Below are 25,638 nucleotides of genomic sequence, written 5' to 3' on the forward strand. Positions count from 1 at the left end.
GAAAAGAAATGGCAGCTGCAGAAGATAAAGCTTCTATGAACACTAAAACTTCCTCCTTTTCTACATTCATAAATGGTGTCAATTTCAATGTATTTCAAGTCTTTTCTTTCAATCTGGTAATGACTCTCATATTTAACATGATGCTTCTTCACTGTTAACTACATCAGTAAATATAAAGGGTGAGGAAGTTAACTGAGAGATCGGAACTTTTGAAAGCCTTTAATTAAGCCTTGGCCCCAATACCTAAGAAGGTTCAGAAGCCTTCTGTGTGTTTATTCCTCCATTATCTTCTGCTCTGAGGGGGATCCCATGGACTCTCAACACACACACACACACACACACACACACACACACACACACACACACACACAGACACACACACGTCTCCCTAAAGAAGAGACCAGATGTATTAGGTCTGGGAATGTATGTTAGAGAGGACTACTGCAATCCTTTCTTTCTTCACCTTAAACTTAGGTTTCCAAATGTCTGTTCAACAGGAATGAGAAGTGATTTATATCATGTTTTTGCTCCTTACATCTTCAAGTTAACAAAATTGAGCTGATTTCTAACAAGTTAAATGCATACTTTTTTTCTTGGTGGGGGGGTGATAATGCAATGTCTTCTCAAGCTATAACTTCGGTGATCGTTCAAGACAGCATTGAATTCTTCTGCCTGAGTTATGCTGGCTAATAGGAATTTAATTGAGAACCAGTGGGAGAGCACTGAAGCATTCATGCATGTGAAATCAGATGAACACCCACAATGTGGAATTTCCTAAGGAAAGTTATTCTGGCAGAGAAATACAGACCAGGTTGAGTGCCAGTAACTTTTAAGCTAAGATGTGGAGCTATCTTCCTAATAAGTAACGAGCTAAAGGTCCCTAAAGAAAAGTGAGGCCAATATTTTCAACTCTATATTTTCAAACATTTTAAAAACATCAGCTCAGAGTTATATACAATTCCCTTCCTCTGTAAGATATTAATCTTCCTTAACTTTGATTCCATATAATAATGTTTATGTTTGAAAGGCACATGCACAACTTATTTAGGTAAATCTAAAATAAACAGCAAGACAGAATAACTAATTTATCTATGAAAAGAAATTGAAATCAGGAGCTGATTTCTATTCAGTAATTATAATACAAGTCTTCCTGAAACATTTCCTTTCAACTGGCCTACTTAAAACCATGTCAATTTTCCACTTCTTGTGCAATTCTAGATGACAGTGTGAATTCAGCTTCAGTTTCTACTCATAAAGGTTAAAGAGACGCTTTCTAACACCTATCCTGTATCAGGTCAACTCAATTACCTTTCAAAGTTGCCTAAATCGTGAAATATTGGTGGTTCAAATACATGAATTCTGCACATTTCAGAATAGATGTACATAGGTGTACATAAATGTATATCACATCATATAGTATGCAAATACATTTACTCCTGGAGGCTTTCTAAAATGTAAAGCTAAAGCTGAATCTTCACCTTCCAGTAATTTTATAATAATTTTCCCCATCATATAGGGATTTGGAATTCTGATATCAGTCATAGCCATTGGGTTCTGTTTTCTTATTCGCAAAATGGAGTTAATTATAATATCTGCCTCATGTAATTGTTGAGAAGAGTAATATAGGAAGATTGCCTGAAAACAGTAACCGCTCAATAAATGCTAACTATTGTTCTATCATTATCATCATTTTTGTTATTGCTGTTATTATTGTTCAGCAATTTTTTTAAAAATTAGACAATTAGAAAAATGCTTTCTATTAGACAGATGGCTCATGCTCATTCATTGCATATATTTTGAAATTTAGCTAGAGCTATGATAAATTAGTCTTTATTTTGCTATATTTAAGCTAGACTGCTATAATATTTTATTTTATAACATCCCTGAAAAACTCAGCAAGCTCTTCGTGAGTGCAAAATGTTACAACTTGAACATTACTTTCCAAGAAGATGACTCAACATATTCTACACTAGTTGAAAGACAATACTCCAGGCTTTCTGATGTAAAAGGATTTAAAAACCCTTGAGCATATGGTGTTTGCACTGCTTTTGTTACTATGGCCTACAATTGTTGGGGTACCTATTCATTTATTTCAAACTGATGTGTCACATAAAAGGAACAACAACAAAAACACAACATGCAGTGAAATTCTATGTAGAGGAATGTAGCTTCAGTCACTGTGTGTCTTAATTAGAAAGAATAGCCGGGCGTAGTGGCTCATGCCTGTAATCCCAGCACTTTAGGATACTGAGGTGGGCATATCACTGGAGGTCAGGACTTTGAGACCAGCCTGGCCAACATGGCAAAATCATGTCTCTACTAAAAATACAAAATTAGCTGGGTGTGGTGGCGTGTGCTTGTAATCCCAGCTACTCAGGAGGCTGAGGCAGGAGAATCACTTGGACCCAGGAGGCAGAGGTTGCAGTGAGCCAAGAAGGCACCACGGCACTCCAGCCTGGGTGACAGAGCAAGACTCTGTCTCAAAACAAACAAACAAACAAACAAACAAACAAACAAACTCCTGCAGTAAGGATTAACTGTGGGTTTATGCCTGGAGATCATTTTAAGGTTCTGTATCTCACAGTTCATGCTCATTGGTTGCTTTCTTTTAGTCATAATCAATTTCCAAGGTGCTAGTTTCACTGCTCAGAGGATGAACAACTTAATGAAATTAGGGTAGTTTCTGTTATAATACTGCTAGTACATGAAACTTAATCATAAAGGGTTGAACAAAAACACAATACAAAGTTTTTATGCATTTCTTTCAAACTAAGTCTTACTAAAAATGGTAAACACTTCCCTGATGCTTCAAAAACAGAGAACTTTACTGATATCTATTAATATTTTATGGGTAATAAATCCAAAATGCAAATTTTAAACAAAGCTGGAACCTATTTTTAATTGCTCACGCTGAACAACCTTTGAACAGCAAGGTCCTTGTAAAAGACATTCATTCATTCATTTACTCATTCATACAGCAAACATTTCAGAGCACGCATTTTACGCCAGGCATGATGTTAGGATACAGAAATGATGACATGGTCTATGTCTTACAGGGAGCTTGGATTGTTTCTCTCCCTAATATCCTACTCCTTGACGTTCAATGTCTTCAATCCACAGTAATATTATGCGTTAAGGAGACAACAACCCGTATCACAAATGATAAAATGTGAACTCTGAATTAGCAGTCATCATCTCCCACTTGACTACAAGAAGATGTCCTCAAACTATACACTTTATTAGGGAATATATATTAGAATAAAGCAAAACAAAACAAAAAATCTGTTATTGGGAAACCAAGTGGGATCTTAGTCTTTACTTTCTCACCAGAGTGGGGAAGGATAGGGTGACCCGGTGCAGCGGACAGGGAACCACTTTGGAACTACCTGTCTTCTAACTGCCTGCAGGAGATGATTTCTTGGTTACTTATTAGGGCTTTTTATAAGCAACATTCCTCATTCCTCGCGTGGGCAGGAAGAAAGGAGCTCCTGTTTTCCCAGCTTACTCCATCTTCACCTGAGGGTCATCTCCCTTCCTTCCCACCCAGCCACTGAACGAGAAAAGCTTTAACTGGGCAGACCTGAATGATTCTCCTCCTACCTAAGCAGTTGTGGCTCAGCCCCGCGGGGACAGGGCGAAGCTCTGGACTCCTCCCAGCCACAGCATCTGCCAACACCGGCTTCCCAACGTCCCACTGCGAGGCCTGATCAGGCTGCTTGCTCGCGGGGACGCCAGGACTTGAAACGTCCCGTGCCACGAGGCCCATCGCGCCCACAAGTGGCGCGGGTCACTGGCACCTCCCTAGTCTTTCCTCTTGAGTTGCACTTGATGTTTCCAATAATAAAAACAAGGTTATTTATATTTTTCCGTTCAGATTCTAAAAGCAATATGATCAATAAAATAATCTGGAAGATACAGAAAGATGTACATAAAATAAAAATTATCTGTATTCTAAAGAGAAGCACTGAAAACATTTTCATGTATATCTTTGCAGTCTCTTTACTATGAATAGATTAAAAAAAAATCATACCATTCTGTCTCTTTCACACAAAACTACACAGATACAATATAGACTTTATACATACATTTTATAAAGTTTTGTATTTGTTCTCTTTTAAAGAAAATTATTTTAAACATTTTACTCTAAAACCATTTATGAGATCTCATAAGCTCCTACCTATGTATGTTTTAGAGTAAAATATGTATATTATATAGAATATATAAATGTATATTATATATCAAATGTATCATGTATTATACTAACATGTTATATGATAATATTATATAACATGTTATGTTATATATGTAATTATGTATATTTAAACATAAACGCACTTTACCTTCTATGCATTTTAGGCAGCACATTACTGATACATTTGAAGAAATCTATGTACCCCTAAGGACTGCGTCTTCCTCCTAGCCACTGTTGTGACTTGTATGACAAACATCCCTTGCTTTCCTTTATAGCTTAACAAATCATACATGCATCACTTTTTATTGAAATATGACATATATCCAGAAAAATGAATGAACTGCAGTGTGTTGAATAAATTATCACAACGTGAACCCATCAGAATAACCACCACCTCAATAAAAAATTAAATTCTTAGCACCCCAGAAACCCCTTCTAATTTCCATTCCTTTTCATTCACCGTAGGTAGTGACTGTTGTGGTTTCTAACACCACAGTTTAGTTTTGTCTGTTTTTGAACATAATAAAAATAGTCCAGTTATGGTTTTACTACTCTATGCTGCCATTGATTACAGTAGTATAATCTATCTTTTACAAAGTACACTAAATATGATGACTAAATTTCACTTCTTGGGTAAAAAGTTTGTCTTATTCACACTTTCCCACCCCCACTCTCTCCTACCTCTCTGCAAAAAACGGGGAAACTACGCTTCAAGGTAAGGTGTAAGGATTGATTGAGATGAGGTGCATGAAGCCTCTGCTGTGTGATAACAGGCTTTTCAATCCCTCTGCAGTAGTCATAATCTCCCTACTACCTCTCACTGATGTATCTCCATCCTGCCTTCAAAGCTCTGCTTCCTTAAAAAATTTTTTTAACCTAGTAAACAGTTCTGCAAGTTTTGATTGTAAGTGCCACACAATTCAAGATTTAAAACATTACTTTCACCCATAAAAATAACACTATGTCTCTGTAGTCAACTCAGCGGATCATTTCCACACCCTGGCATCTACTGATGTGTTTTTTGTCCCTTTAGTGTTATCTTTTCCAAAGGTCAAATAAATGGAATTATATAGCATGTAGTCTTTTGAATCAGACTTCTTTCATTCAGCATATTACATATGAGATTCACATTGCTGTGGTGTTTATCAGGAGTTCAGTCCTGTTTATTGCTGAGTAATGTTCTATTTGTGTGCATATACCACAGTTTATCTATTCACTAGTTGAGGAATATTTGGGGGTGGTCATGAATAAAGCTCCTATAAATATTTGTATACGTATGTTTGTGTAAATTTAAGTTTTACTTTACTTAAATACCTACTGATCAGATTGCTGGGCCATATGGGGTTTAACTTCATAAGAAACAGCCAAATTATTTTCCAAAATTTCTGTACCATTTTGCTTTCCCATCAGCAATACATGAGATTTCCAGTTACTCTCACATCCTCACCAGCACTTGGTTTTGTCAGATTTTCTTTTCATTTTAAAAATAATATTTCCTTTGGGTGTCTCCTTGTGGTTTTAATTTTCATTCCCTAATAGCAAATGACATTGAGTATATTTTCATGTGCTTATTTGCCATTTATATCTTCTTTGTTGAAGTGCCTGGCCCAATCTTTTGCTCATTTTAAAATAAATGGATTGTTTTATTACTTGGTTTTTTACTTGGTTTATTTTTACTTGGTTTATTACTTCTTTTATTCTAAATATAAGCCCTTTATCAGACTTGTGTTTTAAGTATGTTTTTCCAGTCTGTGCTTGTCTCTTTATTCTCTAAGCCACATCTTTCAAGGAGTAGAAGGTCCTAACTTTGATACATTTCATTTACCTTTTTTATGGCTTGTGTCTTTGATTTTATGTCTAAGAAATCTTTTTCTAACCCCAAGTCACAAAGATTTTTCTCCTAAGTTTTCATTTGAGAGCTTCCTAGTTTTTAGGTTTTACATTTACGATATGATCATTTATGACTTAATTTTTGTGTGGGGTGCAAGTTATGAGTTGAGGTTAATTTCTTTTTGCAAATAGAGGTCCAGTTGTTCCTGCACCATTTGTTGAAAAGACCATCCTTTTTCCATTGAATGGCCTTTGTACCTTTGTTGAAAAATCAATGCACAAGTCTATTTCTGTACTCTCTAGTCTGTTCTATTGATCTATATGTTTGCTTTTTCTTCAATATCACACTGTCCTGGTTACTATAGCTTTATAAAGTTCTAATTTCAGATAGTGCATATCCTTCAACTTTGTTCTTCTTTTCCAAAAGTATTTTGTATATTCTAATTTCTTTGCTTTTCCATGTAAATTCTAGAATCACCTTGTTGATTTTTATCGAAAATATCTTGTTACAATTTTGATTGGAATTGTTGAAATCTATAGAACAATTTAGGAAAAACTGACATTTTAGCAAATGAGTCTTCCAATCCATTATCACTGCATACAGGCATATATCAGAGATATTGTGGGTTTGGTTCCCAACCACTATAATTAAGTGAATATTGCGATAAAGTGAGTCACATTAAGTTTTTGGTTTCCCAAAAGCAAAAACTGCACATAAAAATTATGTTTATGCTGTACTGTAGTCTATTAAGTGTGCAATAGAATTATGTCTAAAAAATACATTCCATATTTAAAAATACATTATTGCTAAAAAATGCTGATAATCATTTGAGATTTCAGTGAGTTACAATCTTATTGCTGATTTAGAGTCTTGCCTCAATGTTAATGGCTACTGATTGATCAGGATGGTGATTGCTGATGGTTGAGGTAACTGTGGTAATTTCTTAAAATATGACAGTGAAGTTTGTTGCATTGATAATTTTTTTTTCACAGAAGATTTCTCTGCAGCATGTGATGCTGTTTGATAGTATTTTACCCACAGAAGAACTTATTTCAAAATTGGAGTCAATCCTCTCAAACTCTGCAGCTGCTTTATCCAATAAGTTTACAGAATATTCAAAATCTTTTGTTGTCCTTTCAACAATGTTCAAAGCATCTTCCCTAAGAGGAGACTCTATCTCAAGAAACTACTTTCTTTGTTCATCCATAAGAAGCAACTCTGTATCCATTCAAGTTGTATCATGGGATTGCAGCAATTCAGTCACATCTTCAAGCTCCACTTCTAATTCTAGATCCTTTCTATTTCTAACATATCTGCAGTTAACTTCTCCACTGAAGTCTTGAACCCCTGAAAGTCATTCATGAGAGTTAGAATCAACTTCTTCCAAGCCCCTGTAGTTAATGTTGATATTTTGGCCTCCTCACATGAATTGCAAATATTCCTAATGGCACTTAGACTAGTCAATCATTTCCAGAAGGCTTTCAATTTAGTTTGTCCAGATCCACCAGGGGAATCACTATCTATGGCAGCTATAGCCTTACAAAATGCACTTCTTTAATAATAAGACTGGAAAATCTAAATGACTTCTTGATCCAGAATGGATATTGTGTTAGCAGGCATGAAAACAACATTAATCTCCTTGTACATTCCCATTAGAGTTCTTGGGTGACTAGGTGCATTGTCAATGAGCAGTAATATCTCAAAAGAACTATATTTTTCTGAGCAGTAGACTTAAAATGTTCAACAAAGCATGTTGTAAACACATATGCTATCATTCAGGCTTAGGTTTTCCATTTATAGAGCACAAGCAAAGTGGATCTAGTATAATTCTTAAGGGCTGAAAATTCTAGGGAATTTTCACAGTGGTAACTGAGCATCGGCTTCAACTTAAAGTCACCAGCTGTATTAGCCCCTAACAGGAGAGTCAGCTTGTCCTTTGAACCTTTGAAGCCAGGCATTGACTTCTCCTCTCTGGTTATAAAAGTCCTAGTTGACATCTTCTTCTAATAGAAGGCTATATGTCTACATTGAAAATCTCTTGTTTAGTGTAGCCATATTCATTAATGATCTTAGCTAGATCTTCTGGATAACTTGGTGCAGCTTTTACAGCACTTGCTGCCTCACCTTGCACTTTTATGTTATGAAGATGGTTTCTTTCCTTCAGTCTCATGAGGCAACCTCTTCTAGGTTCCAACTTCTCTTTAGCTTCTTCACCTCTCTCAGGCTTCATAGAATTAAAGAGCTTTAGTAGGGCCTTGGCTCTGGATTAGGTTTTTGCTTAAGGGAATGTTGTAGCTGTCTTGGTCTTCTTTCTACGTCACTAAAATTTCTCCATATCAATAATTAGACTGTTTCACTTTCTTATCATTGATGTGTTCCTTTGCATTCACAACTTGGCCTACCTGTTTGGCACAATGTTACCTAAATTTCAGCCTATTTCAGTTTTTAACCTGCCTTTTTCACTAAGTTAAGTCACTTATAGTTTTTGATTTAAAAAAATGAGAAATCTGAGAGAGGGCGGAGCAAGATGGCAAAATAGAAAGCTCCATCAATCATGCCCCTGCAAGGACATCAAGTTAACAACTATCAACACAGAAAAAATACCTTCAAAAGAACCAAAAATTCGGTGAGCACTCGTAGTACCTGGTTTTCACTTTATATCGCTGAAAGAGACACTGAAGAGACTTAACAGTCCCGAATCATCGACACTGCCCCTCTCCCACCCCATGCAGCTATGTGGTACAGAGAGCTCATTTCTGGGTGCTGGGAGAGGGAGAACACAGCAATTGTGAGGCAATGAGCTCCGTGCTGTCCTGTTAGAGCAGCAAGGAAAACCAGACCAAACTCAGCTGATGTCTGCCCATGGAGGGAGCATTGAAAACAGTCCTAGCCAGAGAGGAATCACTGATCTCAGTAGTGGTCCAAACTTGAGCGACTGCAAACCTCACCACTGAGGGCTACAGCACTCTGTGTCTCTAAGTAAACTTGAAGGGCAGTCTACACCATAAGAACCACAACTCTTAGGTGAGTCCTAGTGCTGAACTGGGCTCAGAACAGTGGACTGAGAGGGCACATGACATACTGAGACACCAGCTGGGGCAGCCAAGGGAGTGCCGGCATCTCCCCTCTGCTATCTTCAGGCTGCACAGCTCACAGATCCAAAAGAGACCCCTATCTTTCACTTGAGGAGAGGAGAGAGAAGAGTGGGGAGGACTGTGTCTTATATCCAGGATACCAGCAAAGCCATAGCAGGACAGGGTGCCAGTCAGAGTTGTGAGGCCCGAGGTCCCAGACAAAGTTTCTAGACACACCCTGGGAAAGAAGGGAACCCACTGCGTTGAAGGAAAGGACCCAGTCCTGGCAGCATTCATCAGCTGCTAACTGAAGAGCCTTTGGGCCCTTTCTGCTCTTCCCTACCCTTCCCATAGCCACAACCAGTCCAGACTGCAAGGAGTACTCCCAGACTACTGCAGATGTTCCCTTCAGGCCCAAGTCTCTTAAGTCAGCTCGTCATGATCTTTTCCTGGCCTGGGACTCCCCATTCAGGGTAGTGGGCTCCCCTGTGGCCCAGGGAAGGTCCAGAAATACCATCCAAGAATCAAGTCTCAGAACTGGGGACCCTAAGAGCCTGCTTGTTGCTCTAACCCCCTGTGGCTGGTACCTAAGTTTCAAGACAAAGCCCCCTTTACTTTCCCTCTGCTTTTCTCAAGCAGGAGTTTTGCCCTGTAGCCACAATAGCTGGTAACATGTAGAGTCTCACCTGAAGCCAGCAAGTCTCAGAAATGCTAAAGGGAGTACTTCAGTATGAAAAAAATGACATTAATGAGCAATAAATAATCATCTGAAGGCATTTACAAAACTCACTGGTAATAGTAAGTACACAGAAAAACACAGACTATTATAGCACTGTAACTGTGATGTGTAAGCTAGTCTTATCCTAAGTAGAAAGACTAAATGATGAGCCAATTAAAAATGATAATTATAACAACTTTTCAAGATATAGTAAATACAATAAGATATAAATAGAAATTTAAACAAGTTTAAAAGTAGGGGGATTAAGGCATATAATTTTTATTAGTGTTCTTTTTGGTTATTTGTTTAAACAAACACTGTTAAGTTGTTATCAGATTAAAATAAGGGGTTATAAGATAGGATTTGCAAGCATCACGGTAACCTTAAACCAAAGAAACGTACAATGCATATACAAAAAATAAAAAGCAAGATACTAAATTATATTATATCACTGGAGAAAATTATCTTCACTAGAAAAAGACGGGAATGAAAGAAAGAAGGAAGACTAAATTCTTAAATCAAAAGACATAGACTGGCTGAATGGATGAAAAAACAAAATCCATTGATCTGTTGCCTACAAGAAACACACTTCACCTATAAAGACACTCATAGATTGAAAATAATGAGATGGAAAAAGATAATCCATGCCAATGGAAATCAGAAAAGAGTAGGAGTCACTACACCTATATAAGACTAAATAGAGTTCAAGACAAAAACTATAAGACAAGACAAAGCAGGTCACCATGTAATGATGGCAGGGACAATTCAGCAAGAGGATATAACAATTTTAAATATATGCACCCAACACTGGAGCCCCCCTATATATAAAGGAAATATTATTAGAGAGAGATAGGCCCTGATACAATAAGAGCTGGAGACTTCAACACTCCACTTTGAGCATTAGACAGATCTTCCAGACAGAACATCAGCAAAGAAACATCAGACTTAATCTGCACTCTAGAACAAATAGATCTAATAGATATTTACAGAACATTTCATCCAAGAGCTACGGAATACACATTCTTTTTGTCAGCACATGGATCATTCTCAAGGATAGGCCATATGTTAGGATGCAAGCCAAGTCATAAAACACTCAAAAAAGTTGAAATAATAGCAAGCATCTTCTCTGACCACAATGAAATAAAACTAGAAAGTAATAACAAGGTGAATCTTGGAGACTATACAAACACATAGAAAATAAACAGTATGCTCCTGAATGACCAGTTGGTCAATGAAAACATTAAGAAGAAAATTTACAAATTTCTTGAAACAAATGATAATGGAAAAACAAAATACGAAATGCCTCTGACAAATATGGATGCAAAACGTTTGGAATAAAGAAAAAGTAGTACTCAGAGGGAAGTTTATAGCTATGAATGCCTAAATTGAGAAAAGGAAAAACTTCAAATAAGCAATCTAATGATGCATCTTAAAGAATTAGAAGAGCAAGAGCAAACCAAACCCAAAATTAGCAGAAGAAAAATAATAAAGAGCAGAAATAAATGAAACTGAAATTAAAAAAACCCAAAAGATTAAAAAAAATTAGTTATTTAAAGAGTTAACATTGACAAACGTTTAGCCAAACTAAAAAGAAAAAAGAGAGAGAGAGAGAGAAGATCCCAATAAGTAAAATCAGAAATGAAAAAGGACACATTACAACAGATACTGCAGAAATTCCAAGGATTATTAGTGGCTACTATGAGCAACTATATGTCAATAAATTGAAAAATTAGAAGAAATAGACAAATTCCTAGATACATACAATTACCAAGACTGAATCAGGAAGAAATCCAAACCTGAACAGACCAACAGACCGATAACAACAAGATTGAAAGGTGTAATAAAAAGTATCTCAGTAAAGAAAAGCCCAGAACACAATGGCTTCACTGCTGAATTCAACCAAACATTTAAAGAAGAACTAATACCAAATCCTACTCAAACTATTCTGAAAAATAGAGGAGGAACTACTTTCAAACTCATTCTATGAAACCAGTATTACCCTGATACCAAAAGCAGGCAAAGACACAACAACAACAACAAAAAACTACAGACCAATATCTCTGAGGAATATTGAGGCAAAAATCCTCAACAAAATACTAGCAAGCCAAATTCAACAATACTTTAGAAAGATCATTCATTATGACCAAGTGGGATTTATCCCTGGGATTCAAGGATGATTCAACATACACAAATCAATCAAGGTGATACATCATATCAACAGAATGAAGGATAAAAACTATATGATCATTTCAATTGATGCTGAAAACACATTTGATAAAATTCAACATCCCTTCATTATTTCCTTAAAAAAACTGGGGATAGAAAGAACATACCTCGACATAATAAAAGCCATATACAACAGCCCCAGAGCCAGTATCATACTGAAAGCCTTTCTTCTAAGATCTGGAACATGACAGGGATGTCCATTGTCACCACTGTTATTCAACATAGTGAATAGAAGTCCTAGCTAGAGCAATCAGACAAGAGAAAGATATAAAGGGCATCCAAATTGGATGTGGAAGAAGTCAAATTATCCTTGTTTGAAGGTGATATAATCTTACATTTAGAAAAACCTAAAGACTGCATAAGAAAACTATTAGAACTGATCAACAAATTCAGTAAAGTTGCAGAATACAAAATCAACATACAATCAGTAGCATTTAAATATGCCAACAGTGAGCAATGTGAAAAAGAAATTTAAAAAGTCATTCCATTTAACAATAGCCATACATAAAATTAAATACCTAGGAATTAACCAAAGAAGTGAAAGATCTCTATAATGAAAACTATAAAACACTGATGAAGGAAATTAAAGAGAACACCAAATAAAGGAAAAACATTCCATGTTCATTAATCGGAAGAATCAATATTGTTAAAATGTTCATACTACCCAAAGCAATCTTCAGATTCAATGCAATCCCTATCAAAGTACCAATGACACTCTTCACAGAAATAGCAAAAAACTATCCTAAAATTTATATGGAACCACAAACGATCCAGAATAGCCAAAGCTATCCTAAGCAGAAATAACAAAACTGGAAGAATCACATTACCTGACTTTAAATTATACTACAAAGCTATAGTAACCAGCTGGTATAAAACTACTAGCATAAAAACAGACACTTAGACCAATGCAACAGAGTAGAGAACCCAGAAACAAATTCACGCACCTACAGTGAACTGATTTTTGACAAAGGTACCAAAAAAGGGGACAGTCTGGGGAATGGACAGTCTCTTCAATAAATGGTTCTGGGAAAACTAGATATCCATATGCAAAATAATGAAACTAGACTCATATCTCTTGCCATGTACAAAAATAAAATCAAAATGAATTAAAGACTTAAATTGAAGACCACAAACTATGAAACTCCGATAAGAAAACAATGGGGAAAATCTCCAGGATATTGGTCTGGGCAAAGACTTCTTGAGCAATACCCAACAAGCAAAGGCAATCAAAGCAAACATGGACAAATGGGATCACATCAAGTTAAAAAACTTCTGCACAGCAAAGGACAGAGTCAGCAAAGTGAAGCGACAACCCACAGAGAGGGAAAAAATATTTGCAAACTATGCATCTGACAAGGGATTAATAACCAGAATATATAAGGAGCTCAAACAACTCTAAAAAATCTAATAGTCCTGTCAAAAAATGGGAAAAAGATTTGAAGAGACATTTATCAAAAGAAGACATACAAATGGAAAACAGGCATATAAAAGGTGCTTAGCATTACTGATCATCCAAGAAATGCAAATCAAAACTACAATGAAATATCATCTCACCCCAGTTAATATGGCTTGTATCCAAAAGCAGAGCAATAACAAATGCTGGTGAGGATATGGAGAAAAGGGGAACCCTTGTACACTGTTCATGGGAATGTAAATTAGTACAACCTCTATAGAGAACAGTTTGGAGGTTCCTCAAAAAACTAAAAATAGAGCTATCATATAATCCAGCAATCCCACTGCTGGGTATATACCCAACAGAAAGCAAATCATTATATTGAAGAGATATCTGCACTCCTATGTTTGTTGTAGCACTGTTGACAATAGCTAAGATTTGGAAGCAACGTAAGTGTCCATCAACAGATGAATGGATAACAAAAATGTGGTACATAGACACAATGGAGTACTATTCAGCCATAAAGAAGAATGAGATCCAGTCATTTGCAACAACATGAATGGAATTGGAGGTCATTGTATTAAGTGAAATAAGCCAGGTACAGAAAGACAAACGTTGCATGTTCTTACTTATTCGTGGGATCTAAAAATCAAATCAATTGAACTCATGGACACAGAGAGTAGAAGGGTGATTACCAGAGTCTGGGAATGGTCATAGGGATTTGGTGGGGGATGTGGGCATGGTTTGGGTACAAAAAATAGAAATAATGAATAAGACCTACTATTTAATAGCACAATAGGGTGAAAATAGCCAATAATAATTGTATATTTTAAATTAACTTAAATAATGTAATTATTTTGTTTGTAACTCAAAGGATGAATGCCTGAGGGGATGGGTACCCCATTCTCTGTGATGTGCTTATTTCATATTGCATGCCTTATCAAACCATGTCATGCACCACATAAATATATACACCTACTATGCACCCATAAAAATTAAAAAATTGTAAAAAATAAAATAAAGTAAGAGATCTGGGATTCTTTTTTTCACTTGGACAATTTAGAGGCCCCTCTCAGGTTATTATTTGGCCTAATTTCAATATGTTTTGTCTCAAGCAATAGGGAAGCCTGAAGAGAGGGAGAGGGATGGGGCAATGGCTGGTCGATGGAGCAGTCAGAACACACACAACCATTTATCAATTAAGTTCACCATCTTATAGGGATGCAGTGAGTGGCACCCTAAAACAGTGACAAAAGTAGCAACAGAAATCGCTGACTACATATTGCTATAATACACAATAATAATGAAAGAATTAAAATATTGCAAGAATTACCAAAATTTAACACAAAGACCTGAAGTGAGCAGATGCTACTGGAAAATTGGCACCTATAGACTTGCTTGAGGATTTGTAAATTTGTAAAAAATGCAGTATCTGCAAAGAAGTGCCATTGAACAAAACATAATAAGATGATATGTGTTTGTATCTATGTGTTTAATTAGACCTTTGATTTTTGTAGTTTTCAGTATGCAGCCTTTGCACATATTTAATAAGATTTATTTCTAAACATTTCATGTTTTGGTGCTTTTGTAAATTTTACTCTTTAAAAAATTTTTATTTCCACATATTCACTGCTATTATATAGAAATGTACCTGATTTTTATATATTGATGTTATATTCTGTGATCTTGCTGGACTCAGTTCTAGGTATCTTTTTTTAAAAGAAGATTCTTGGAATTTTCTGCATAGGTAATCATGTTATCTGTGCAGAGAGTTAATTTAATTTCCCCTTTTCCAATCTGTATACCTTATATTTGTTTTCCTTGCCTGATTGTACTTACCAAAATCCATAGTATGATATCAAATAGAAGAGATGAGAGCAGACGTTCTTGCCCTATTCCACATTTTAAGGGGAAAGTTTCAGCCTTTCACCATTAAGTATGTTAGTTGTAGGTTTACTGTAGATTCTCTTTATCAAGTTGGGGAAGTTTCCCCTCTTTTCCTTTTTTTTTTCTGGGAGTTTTTATCATGATGAGGTGTTAGATTTTGTCTAATGCTTTTTCTGTACCAATTGATATGATTACACGGTTTTCCTTCTTTTACTTATAAATATGATGTATTATATTGGTTGAATTTTTAATTTTGACCCAGCCTTTTATTCTCAGGATAAACCTACCTTTAATGGACATTCAGGATTTTATTTCCTTTTGAGCTATTTTTATTAAATTATTCTCTCGTATTTTTGACATTACTTACATTTAAAAATCTGTTTTTTATGATGTTCTTTTTACCTTTAATCTTTACCATATTTGTAATTCAGTTGTCTTTTCATTCCTAATATTTTTTTCTCTCTTTTTTCCTTGGTAAATGCTGTCAAATGGTTGTTTTATTTTCTATTTTATTAGTCTTGAAAGACGCACCTTGCTATTTTATTTATTTCTCCTTTTATTTCTACTCCTTCCTTCTAATTCTTTGCCCATTTATTTTGACTATTTTTATTTTCCAATATAAATATTAAAATTATAAATTTCCCTCTTAGTACTGGTTTAGCTACGTATATGAATGTAGACATGTAGTACTGTAATTATTCAATTATAAGTATTTTCTCATTTTCATTGTGATTTCTTACTTGGAGGAATGTTTTTAAGTTCTTAACATATTGACTTTATAAAATAAAAGCTTTCAATTATTGGCATCTGACTTAATTTCATTTTATTTAATGCAGTGGTCCTTAAAGTATGGTTCCAGAACTAGCAGCGACAAGATTACCTGGTGTGAATTGAATTATGTTCCCCCAAAATATATGCTGGAGTCCTAACCTCAGGTACCTGTGAATGCATGTGACCTTATTTGGAAACTGGTCTTTAGTACAATCAAATTAAGATGATGCCATACTGGATTAGGATAGGCCCTAATTCAATATGACTAATATAATTATAAGAAGAGAAGAGACACAGAGGCACACAAGGAAAATACCGTGTGATGATAGAGGCAGAGACTGGAGTAATTGGAATTTTGTTTTCTTTTTTTCTGAGAGTTTCACTTTGTTGCTCAGACTGGAGTGGAGTGGCATAATCACAGCTCCCTACAGCCTTGACATCCTAGCTCAAGCAATTCTCTCATCTCAGCCTCCTGAGCAGCTGGAACCACAGGTGCAGAGAACTACGCTCAACTAATTTTTGTATTTTTTGTAGAGACAGGGTTTTGCCATGTTGCCCAGGCTGGTCTCCAGCTCCTGGACTCAAGAGATCTGCCCACCTCTACTTCCCAAAGTGCTGGTATTATAGGGATTAACCACCACGCCCAGCTTACTGATGTGCTAAAAAGCCAACGCATGCCAAGGATTGCTGGCAATACCAGAAGCTAAGAGAAGGGCATCGAGCAGACTCCCCTATAACCTTTAGACAGAGCATTGCCAACACCTTGATTTCAAACGTCTAACCTCCAGAATGTGAGAAAATATATTTCTGTTGTTTTCTGTGTCTGTTGTTTTCAGCCACCCAGTTTGTGATATTTTGTTAAGGGCAGTCCTAGGGAACCAATACAATAGAAAACCTGTTAAAAATGCAAATTCTTGGCCTCAATTCCAGACCTACCGTATCAGAATCTTTGTGGATGGGGTGGAGTAATTTGGATTTTAACACAAGTCTTTCCTGTTATTTTAATGAATGCTAATTTGAGAACCACTGAGTTAGAGAATGTGGTCAACGGGATACTAGTCCTTTGAAATTTATTAAGATTTAATTTGCAGTATAATACAGGGTTAATTTTTGCAAATGTTTCATATATGTCTAAAATGTGCATTTTGCAGTTGCTCAGTGCAGAATTCTGTATACGCCCATTAAATCAAGCTTGTTAATTGTGTTATTCAAATCTTCTGTATCATTAACAATATTTTTGGTTCTGTTTATCAATCACAGAGATACATTCAAATCTTCTACTATGATAATAGAATTATGTATTTGTTCTTGTAGTTCTGCCAGTTTTAAATATAGTTCTACAAATATACACATAACATATAATGTTATTAGGTACATGCATATTTAGAATTCTTTCTTCCTATGGCATTTATCTGGACAAGGTGAAAGTAAATTTTTGATTTGGGGTGTTAGGTCACATACACAGCATGAACTCCATTTTTAAGTCTACCTAAATGTAGGCTTATGATTAGGAATACACAAGAAAATATCCCTTCGTTCCTTCCTTCCTTCCCTCCTTCCTTCTCTCCTTTACTCATTTCTTTCTATTCTTGCTGAGACAGTAAATCGTTCCATTAATTTTTTTCACCTGTGTCTGTGCAAGGATTCCCACCAAACAGGCTTTGTGTGAGCAACAAGGCTGTTTATTTCACCTGGGTACAGGCGGGCCGAGTCCGAAAAGAGAGTCAGGGAAGGGAGATAGGGGTGGGGCCATTTTATAGGATTTGGGTAGGTAAAGGAAAATTACAGTCAAAGGGGGGAGTTGTTCTCTGGCTGGCAGGGGTGGGGGTCAGAAGGTGCTCAGTAGGGGAGCTTCTGAGCCAGGATGAGCCAGGAAAAGGAATTTCACAAGGTAATGTCATCAGTTAAGGCAGGAACAGGCCTTTTCACTTCTTTTGTGGTGGAATGTCATCAGTTAAGGCAGGAACTGGCCACCTGGATGTGTATGTGCAGGTCACAGGGGATATGATGGCTTAGCTTGGGCTCAGAGGCCTGACATTCCTGTCTTCTTATATTAATAAGAAAAATAAAACAAAATAGTGTTGAAGTGTTGAGGCGGCAAAAATTTTTTGGGGGTGGTGTGGAGAGAGAATGGGCGATGTTTCTCAGGGCTGCTTCAAGTGGGATCAGGGGCGGGTGGGAACCTAGAGTGGGAGAGATTAAGCTGAAGGAAGATTTTGTGGTAAGGGGTGATGTCGTGGGGTTGTTAGAAGAAACATTTGTCGTATAGAATGATTGGTGATGGCCTGGATACGGTTTTGTATGAATTGAAAAACTAAATGGAATAAGACAAGGAGAAAAACAGGTATTAAAGGACTAAGAATTGGGAGGACCTAGGACATCTAATTAGAGAGTGCCTAAGGAGGTTCAGCATAGCCCTGCCAGCAAAGATTATTTATTTACTTTAAGAGGGAGTTAAGAGTGGTGGTTTGGGGATAGCACCAAGAGATATCAGCTGTGATGGCTTGGAGAAACAGTGAAAACCGGCAGTGTAAACAAGAGCAGGGCATTTATGAGTAGTTGAGAAAAGTGAATAGGAGTGTGACTAGACAGAAGATAGTAGGGATGACAAGTTTTTTGGGGTGCAGTTCAAGTTGGTCTGGCATCTGGAATGAAGCTGGGGCCTAATAAAAAGAAGCATCTATACAGGAGCTTAAATGGACTTTACCTTGTAGCATTCCGAGGACAGGCCTGAATTATGAGAAAGGAAAGAGGTAAAAGTACTGTCCAGTCCTTTTTAAGTTGGAGGCTGAGCTTGGCGAGGTGTGTCTTTAAAAGACCATTAGTCCGTTCTACCTTTCCTGAAGATTGAAGACGGTAAGGGATATGAATGTTCCACTGAATACCAAGAGCCTGAGAAACTGCTTGGGTGATTTGACTAGTAAAGGCCGGTCTGTTATCGGACTGTATAGAGATGGGAAGTCCAAACCGAGGAATTATGTCTGACAGAAGGGAAGAAATGACTGTGGTGGCCTTCTCAGACCCTGTGGGAAAGGCCTCTACCCATCCAGTGAAAGTGTCTACCCAGACCAAGAGGTATTTTAGTTTCCTGACTCGAGGCATGTGAGTAAAGTCAATTTGCCAGTCCGGGGGTGGGCGGGCGCGGCGGAAAATCTCCAAGCTTGATGTGTAGGGGAGGGAGGAGGCCTGAATAATCCCTGAGGAGTAGTAGAATAGCAGATGGAACACTGAGAAGTGATTTCCTTGAGGATAGATTTCTATGATGGAAAGGAAATGAGAGGTTCTAAGAGAGGGCTAGTGGCTTGTAACTTACATGGAAGAGGTTATGAAATGACGACAGAATAGAATGGGCCTGTGAGGCTGGAAGGAGATATTTTCCTTGGTCTAAGAGCCATTTGCCTTGTGTGGGAAGAGATTGATAGGTGGAAGTTTCAGCAGGGGAGTAGGTGGGAGTAGCCAGATGAGAAGGAGAAAAACTGAAAGTGAGGGATATAAGTTGGAACGCTAGCTGGTTTTTTAGCTATCTTATCAGCATAAGCATTGTCCTGAGCGATGGGATCTGATACCCTTTGATGGCCTTTGCAGTGAATGACTCTGTCTTCCTTTGGAAGTAAAGTGGCTTTGAGAAGCATTTTTATTAAAGAGGCATTAATGATAGAGGACCTTTGTGTAGTGAGGAAACCTCTTGCATGGTGGTGCAGGATATGGAAGGCATATTTAGAGTCAGTATAAATACTGATGTGTAGTCCTTTTGCAAGAGTGAGGGCTTGACTTAAGGCAATGAGTTCGGCTTGCTGAGAGGTAGTGGAGGGGGGCAGAGCAGTAGCCTTAATGATAGATGTGGAAAATACTATAGCATAGCCTGCCTTTGCTGGTGAGTAGCGATTAGGCCTGGTGGAACTGCCATCAATAAACCAAGTGTGTTCAGGGTTAGGAACACATAAGAATATGGGGAAGTGGAGTGAATGTCAGGTGGATCAGAGAGATACAGTCATGAGGGTCAGGTGTGATATCAGGAATAATGTGGGAGGCCGGACTGAAGTCTGGGCCAGGAACAATGGTAATTGTGGGAGACTCAACAAAGACTGAGTACAGCTGAAGGAGCCAGGGAGCAGAAAGTATATGTCAGGTGTGAGGAAGAAAATAGATTTTGGAAGTTATGAGAGCTGCAGAGAGTGAGTTCAGCATAGTTTGTGATTTTAAGGGCCTCTAAAAGTATTAGGGTGGTGGCAGCCACCGCACACAGACTTGAGGGCTAGGCAAAACAGTAAGGTCAAGTTGTTTGGATAAAAAGGCTACAGGGCATGGTACCAGTCCTTGTGTAAGAATTCTGACTGCACAGCCCTGCACTTTGGCTGTGTGTGATGAAAAGGGTTGGGATGAGTCAGGGAGAGCTAGGGTGGGGGCAGTCTCTAAAGCTGTCTTCAAGGAACAGAAAGAGGAATGGGGAAAGGATTTAGGATCTATGGGGTCAGCTAGGTTTCCTTTTGTGAGTTTATATAATGGTTTTGTTAGGATGGCAAAACCAGGTATCTAAAGTCGAAAGTATCCAACCATGCCTAGGAAGGAAAGGAATTGTTATTTTGTAGAAGATGTTGGGGTTTGAGAGATCAGTCGGACATGATCGGCAGGGAGAGCATGTGTGTTTTTATGAGACTTATGCCGAGATAGGTAACAGATGGGGAAGAAATTTGTGCTTGACTGAAGTAAAGGGAGCTGTCTGTGAAGCCTTGTGGCAGTACAGCCTAGGTAATTTGCTGAGCGTAATGGGTGTCAGGGTCAGTCCAAGTGAAAGCCAAGAGAGGCTGGGATGAAGGGTGCAAAGGAATAGTAAAGAAAGCATGTTTGAGATCCAGAACAGAATAATTCATTGTGGAGGGAGGTATTGAGGATAGGAGAGTATATGGGTTTGGTCCTATGGGGTAGATGATAGGCAAAACAATTTGGTTGATAAGGCGCAGATCCTGAACTAACCTGTAAGTCTTGTCTGGTTTTAGGACAGGTAAAATGGGGGAATTGTAAGGATAGTTTATGCTTTAAAAGGCTATGCTGTAGCAGGCGAGTGATAACAGGCTTTAATCCTTTTAAAGCATGCTGTGGGATGGGATATTGGCATTGAGGAGGGGAAGGGTGATTAGGTTTTAATGAGATGGTAAGGGGTGCATGATCGGTTGCCAAGGAGGGAGTAGAGGTATCCTATACTTGTGGGCTAAGGTGGGGAGATACAAGATGAGGATGTGAAGGAGGCTTTGAACTGGGGGTAAAGGCAGCAGTGAGGTGTAGCTGTAGCCCAGGACTAGTCAGGGAAGCAGATAATTTAGTTAAAATATCTCGTCCTAATAAGGGAACTGGGCAGGTGGTGATAACTAAAAGGAGTGCTTAAAAGAGTATTGTCAAAGTTGGCACCAGAGTTGGGGAGTTTTAAGAGGTTTAAAAGCCTGGCCATCAATACCCACAACAGTTATGAAGGCAAAGGAAACAGGCCCTTGAAAAGAAGATAATGTGGAGTGGGTAGCCTTCGTATTGATTAAGAAGGGGACGGACTTACCCTCCACTGTGAGAGTTACCTAAAGCGTCTGTGATGGTCCAGGAAGCTTCTGAGGCAATTGGTCAGTGAGCCTTGGGCCAGAGTTCCATGGGCTCTGAGAGTGGCTGCCGGGCGAGTTGGACAGTCCGATTTCCAGTGGGGTCCTGCACAGATGGGACACAGCTTAGGAGGAATCCCAGGTTGCGGGCATTCCTTGGCCCGGTGGCCAGATTACTGGCACTTGTAGCAAGCTCCTGGGGGAGGAGGTTCTGGAGGAATCCCTGGCAGCTGCGGTTCAGGCGTTTGGAAGTTCTTGTGTGCTGGAGATGTGGCTGGGGTTTGTCTCACAGTGGAGGCAAGGAATTGCAACTCAGAAATATGTTGCTACTTAGCTGCCCCTACTCTATTATTGTACACCTTGAAGGTGAGGTTAATTAAGTCCTGTTGTGGGGTTTGAGGGACGGAATTTAATTTTTGGAGCTTTATTTAATGTTGGGAGCAGATTGGGTAATAAAATGTATATTGGGAATAAGACGGCCTTTTGACCTTCTAGGGTCTAGCGCTGTAAAGCGTCTCAGGGTTGCTGCCAAACGGGCCATGAACTGGGCTGGGTTTTTCATATTTGATGAAAAAGAGCCTAAAAGCTAACTGATTTGGGAGAGGTCGGATAAAGAAAAAGGAGCATTAACCTTGACTATGCCTTTAGCTCCAGCTACCTTTTTAAGAGGAAATTGCTGGGCAGGTGGGTGAGGGCTGTCTCGGAACGAAACTGTAAGCTAGACCGGGTGTGAGAAGGGGAGGTGATAAAAGGATTATAGGATTGGGGAGCAGAGGCTGAAGAAGAATTGGGACCTGGCTTGGCCTGGCGAGGGGCAGCCTAGAGAGAAGGGGAGAGGTCAGATGGGTTTGTAGAAAAGGAGGATTAGAAAGACTCAGGGACACTTGGGGTTGGGACTGAGAGGACAGGCGGGAGGGAAAGGAGGAGGATTTGGGATGAGTCGCATTGGGAACAGAGACTAGGGAGGGAATAATGTGTCAAAGAATGCCTGGACATCAGGCACCTCCGACCATTTGCCTATTTTACAACAAGAATTATCTAGATCTTGTAGGATGGAAAAATCAAAAGTGCCATTTTCTGGCTATTTGGAACCACTGTCAAGTTTGTATTGGGTTCAAGCGGCATTGTAGAAGAAAATAAGGCATTTAGGTTTTAGGTCAGGTTGAGTTGCAGAGGTTTTAAGTTCTTGAGAACACAGGGAGAAGGAGGAATGGAGGGTGGAAGGCTGCCCATAGTGAAGAAGGCAAGCCCAGAGAAAAGAGAGAGACATGGAGAGAAGGGGTTGGGGGTGCTTGCCCCCAGGAAAGTGGAGAAGGGGTAGAGACATGGAGAGAAGGAGTCAGGAGGTTCTTTCCTCCTGGAAAAGCAGATAAGGGGTAGAGACATTGAGAGAAGGGGAAGGGGGTGCTTGCCCTCCAGGAAAGTGGAGAAGGAGTAGAGACACGGAGAGATGGGGTCGGGGAATTCTTGCCCCTCCGAAAAGCAGTACTTGCCGCTAAGGGTGAAGGACCAAGGCAGGCGTCCCAGAGTGGTCAAACACCTCTGAAACGTGGGTGAATAATTAGGCAGGTGTCCCTGCATGATTAAACACCAAGGGAAGACTGTCTTCCCGAGTCTGTGACCAGTGCCGGAGTTTTGGTTTCATGGATAAAACACATCTCCTTTGTCTCTACCAGAAAAGGAAAGGAACTGAAATTAAGAGAAGGAAGAGATTGACGTGTGTCACCAAGATTGAAAGGAGAAAGAGGTTGAGGGATAGTGAGACAGACTGGAGAAGAGAGTAAAGAGAGGCCGCTTACCGGATTTAAAATTGGTGAGATGTTCCTTGGGCTGGTTGGTCTGAGGACCAGAGGTTGTAGGTGGATCTTTCTCATGGAACAAAGAGCAGGAGAACAGGGGATTGATCTCCCAAGGGAGGTCCCCCAGTCCGAGTCATGGCACCAAATTTCACATGCATCTGTGTGAAGAGACCACCAAACAGGCTTTGTGTGAGCAACAAGGCTGTTTATTTCACCTAGGTGCAGGCAGGCTGAGTCCGAAAAGAGAGTCAGGGAAGGGAGATAGGGGTGGGGCCATTTTATAGGATTTGGGTAGGTAAAGGAAAATTACAGTCAGAGAGGGGGGTTGTTCTCTGGCTGGCAGGGGTTGGGGGGGGTCACAAGGTGCTCAGTGGGGGAGCTTTTGAGCCAGGATGAGCCAGGAAAAGGAATTTCACAAGGTAATGTCATCAGTTAAGGCAGGAACAGGACATTTTCACTTGTTTTGTTGTGGAATGTCATCAGTTAAGGCAGGAACCGACCATCTGGATGTGTACGTGCAGGTCACAGGGGATATGATGGTTTAGCTTTGGTTCAGAGGCCTGACAATTTTATTTGCAAGGTACCTTTATATTTGAATCAGTCTCTGGAAATGGTATCCTTTAGGTAACGCAGAAGTCTCTTGTCTACCTCTGATCCCTCCTAGCACCCCAGGCTTTGTCTCTTGACTGTAGCATCTGTGGCCTAGTAGAACACAATCTCTGGACACAGTAGCAAGTACCCAGGAAAATGTAAATTCAAGTGCTCACCTACCTCAGTGGATTTGTCTTTACTCCTCTTTTCTAGTTTCTGAATAATTAATTCCCTTAATTTCCTACAAGTTCAGCTATGCATTAAAGTGATATTTTTCTATTTTATACAGCATTTCTAGGTGTGCTATACCAGGAATACTTTCCCTGAAAGCCCACCCTGCCATTTTGCATAAATTAGAAATCTACTTTGCCTTCCTCACTCAACACTAGGTAGGGTACATTTTTGTTGCGTGCCATTTAACATTCTGCTAAAAATTATTTTAGTTTCTGCATTATATTGTATTGGATGGATGTACCATTATTTTGTTAGAGATATAAGGGTTTTTTCCAATTTTTCCATGTATATTTATTTTTATGCATACCTTTTTATGTGCATCTCTGGGTTCTTTAGGATTATTCCTATAAATAGAATTCCTAAGTCAAGGAGCATTAACTTTTTAATGGTCCTGTGTTCTGCTGTCACATTGCTTTACCAAAAAATGATGCCAATTAATAGTCCTGGTAGTGGTGTGTGATAGTATTTCATTTTAACTTTCTTAACATCAATATTTTTTATTTTTGTTAATAGGTAAGAAATTTTTCTGTTGTTTACATTTGTGTTCCCTAAATTACAAGTGTTAATTTATATTTCTTCTACTGTGATGTGTTTGTTTGTGTTTTTTTTTTCCAGTTTCCTTGTTTTGACATTGATTTTTCCGTGAGTGGACAGCCTGCTATGCTTGAGTCCTTTAGGTTAACAGAGTGAATGGTGGTCCTTAAGTCAATGTTTGAGCTAAATCTCAGGGCTATCACAGGAATACCTTCAGGGTCCTTAAATATCTCTCAAGCCCCTGCATATGGCAGAAACCGTGCTGACTTCTTTTTGACTTAATATCATTGCAGTAACTGAGTGAAAAAACTGAGGTTCTACTACCATTATATTACCACTGAAGAAAATGAGGCTTAGAGTCCATAAATAACATGTTCAAGTAATTGAATGGGGATTTTGAAATCATATCTTCCTACTTAAGAGATTCCTACTTTTGATAGTCTTGAGCAGACAATTTTCCCTCTGTCTCCACAGATCAAGTAGTTGAAGTTTTGTTAGCTATGGAGTCTATATATTTGAGACTCAGGAGAGGAGTTGCAAAATGGGACAAAAAGGAAGCAAGTAAGTAGTTGCTGCAGAGTGTAAAACTTTTACATGGAATTTGCTCTTATGCTCTATAAGTAATGATAGGAAAATGAGCCCCATAGGAGATGACACCACTGTGTATGGCCATGCAGGTTGTACATACTTGAGGGGGAGCCATCCACATCCAGTATGGTGTGAATGGCATCTTTGGGAATTGTGCAGAGCTACACTGGCATAATCAGATCCAGTAACTTCTTCATATTGATTTAATTTTTATA

At 38.6% G+C, this 25,638-nt stretch overlaps 1 protein-coding gene and 1 long non-coding RNA gene across 4 annotated transcripts in view, besides 1 other annotated feature; one reads left to right on the forward strand and one right to left on the reverse strand.

Moving 5' to 3' along the window:
- Positions 1-3,733, reverse strand: part of SPATA16 (spermatogenesis associated 16) — a 251,879-nt gene extending 248,146 nt beyond the window's left edge. For all 3 annotated transcript variants that reach the window (NM_031955.6, XM_006713778.4, XM_017007308.3), the window contains exon 1: positions 3,601-3,733. The gene's annotated coding sequence lies outside the window, so the exon portion shown is untranslated. The remainder of the gene's footprint in view (positions 1-3,600) is intronic.
- The window catches only part of LOC105374220 (uncharacterized), a 48,606-nt gene extending 23,215 nt beyond the window's left edge, over positions 1-25,391 (forward strand). Inside the window, exons 2-3 of the long non-coding RNA XR_001741021.1 lie at positions 16,158-16,256; positions 25,310-25,391. This is a non-coding gene — a long non-coding RNA (uncharacterized LOC105374220). The remainder of the gene's footprint in view (positions 1-16,157; positions 16,257-25,309) is intronic.
- Positions 3,219-3,720: an enhancer, noted in NCBI's record as "H3K4me1 hESC enhancer chr3:172858511-172859012 (GRCh37/hg19 assembly coordinates)". NCBI's record gives its function as "activates a minimal SCP1, AML or CMV promoter by ChIP-STARR-seq in naive H9 embryonic stem cells {active_cell/tissue: H9 hESC(naive)}" and the evidence as "EXISTENCE:reporter gene assay evidence [ECO:0000049][PMID:30033119]".
- Positions 25,392-25,638: the final 247 nt, after the last annotated feature.

Source organism: Homo sapiens, chromosome 3 (assembly GCF_000001405.40).
Source record: "Homo sapiens chromosome 3, GRCh38.p14 Primary Assembly".
In the NCBI taxonomy this organism is placed as follows: domain Eukaryota; kingdom Metazoa; phylum Chordata; class Mammalia; order Primates; family Hominidae; genus Homo; species Homo sapiens.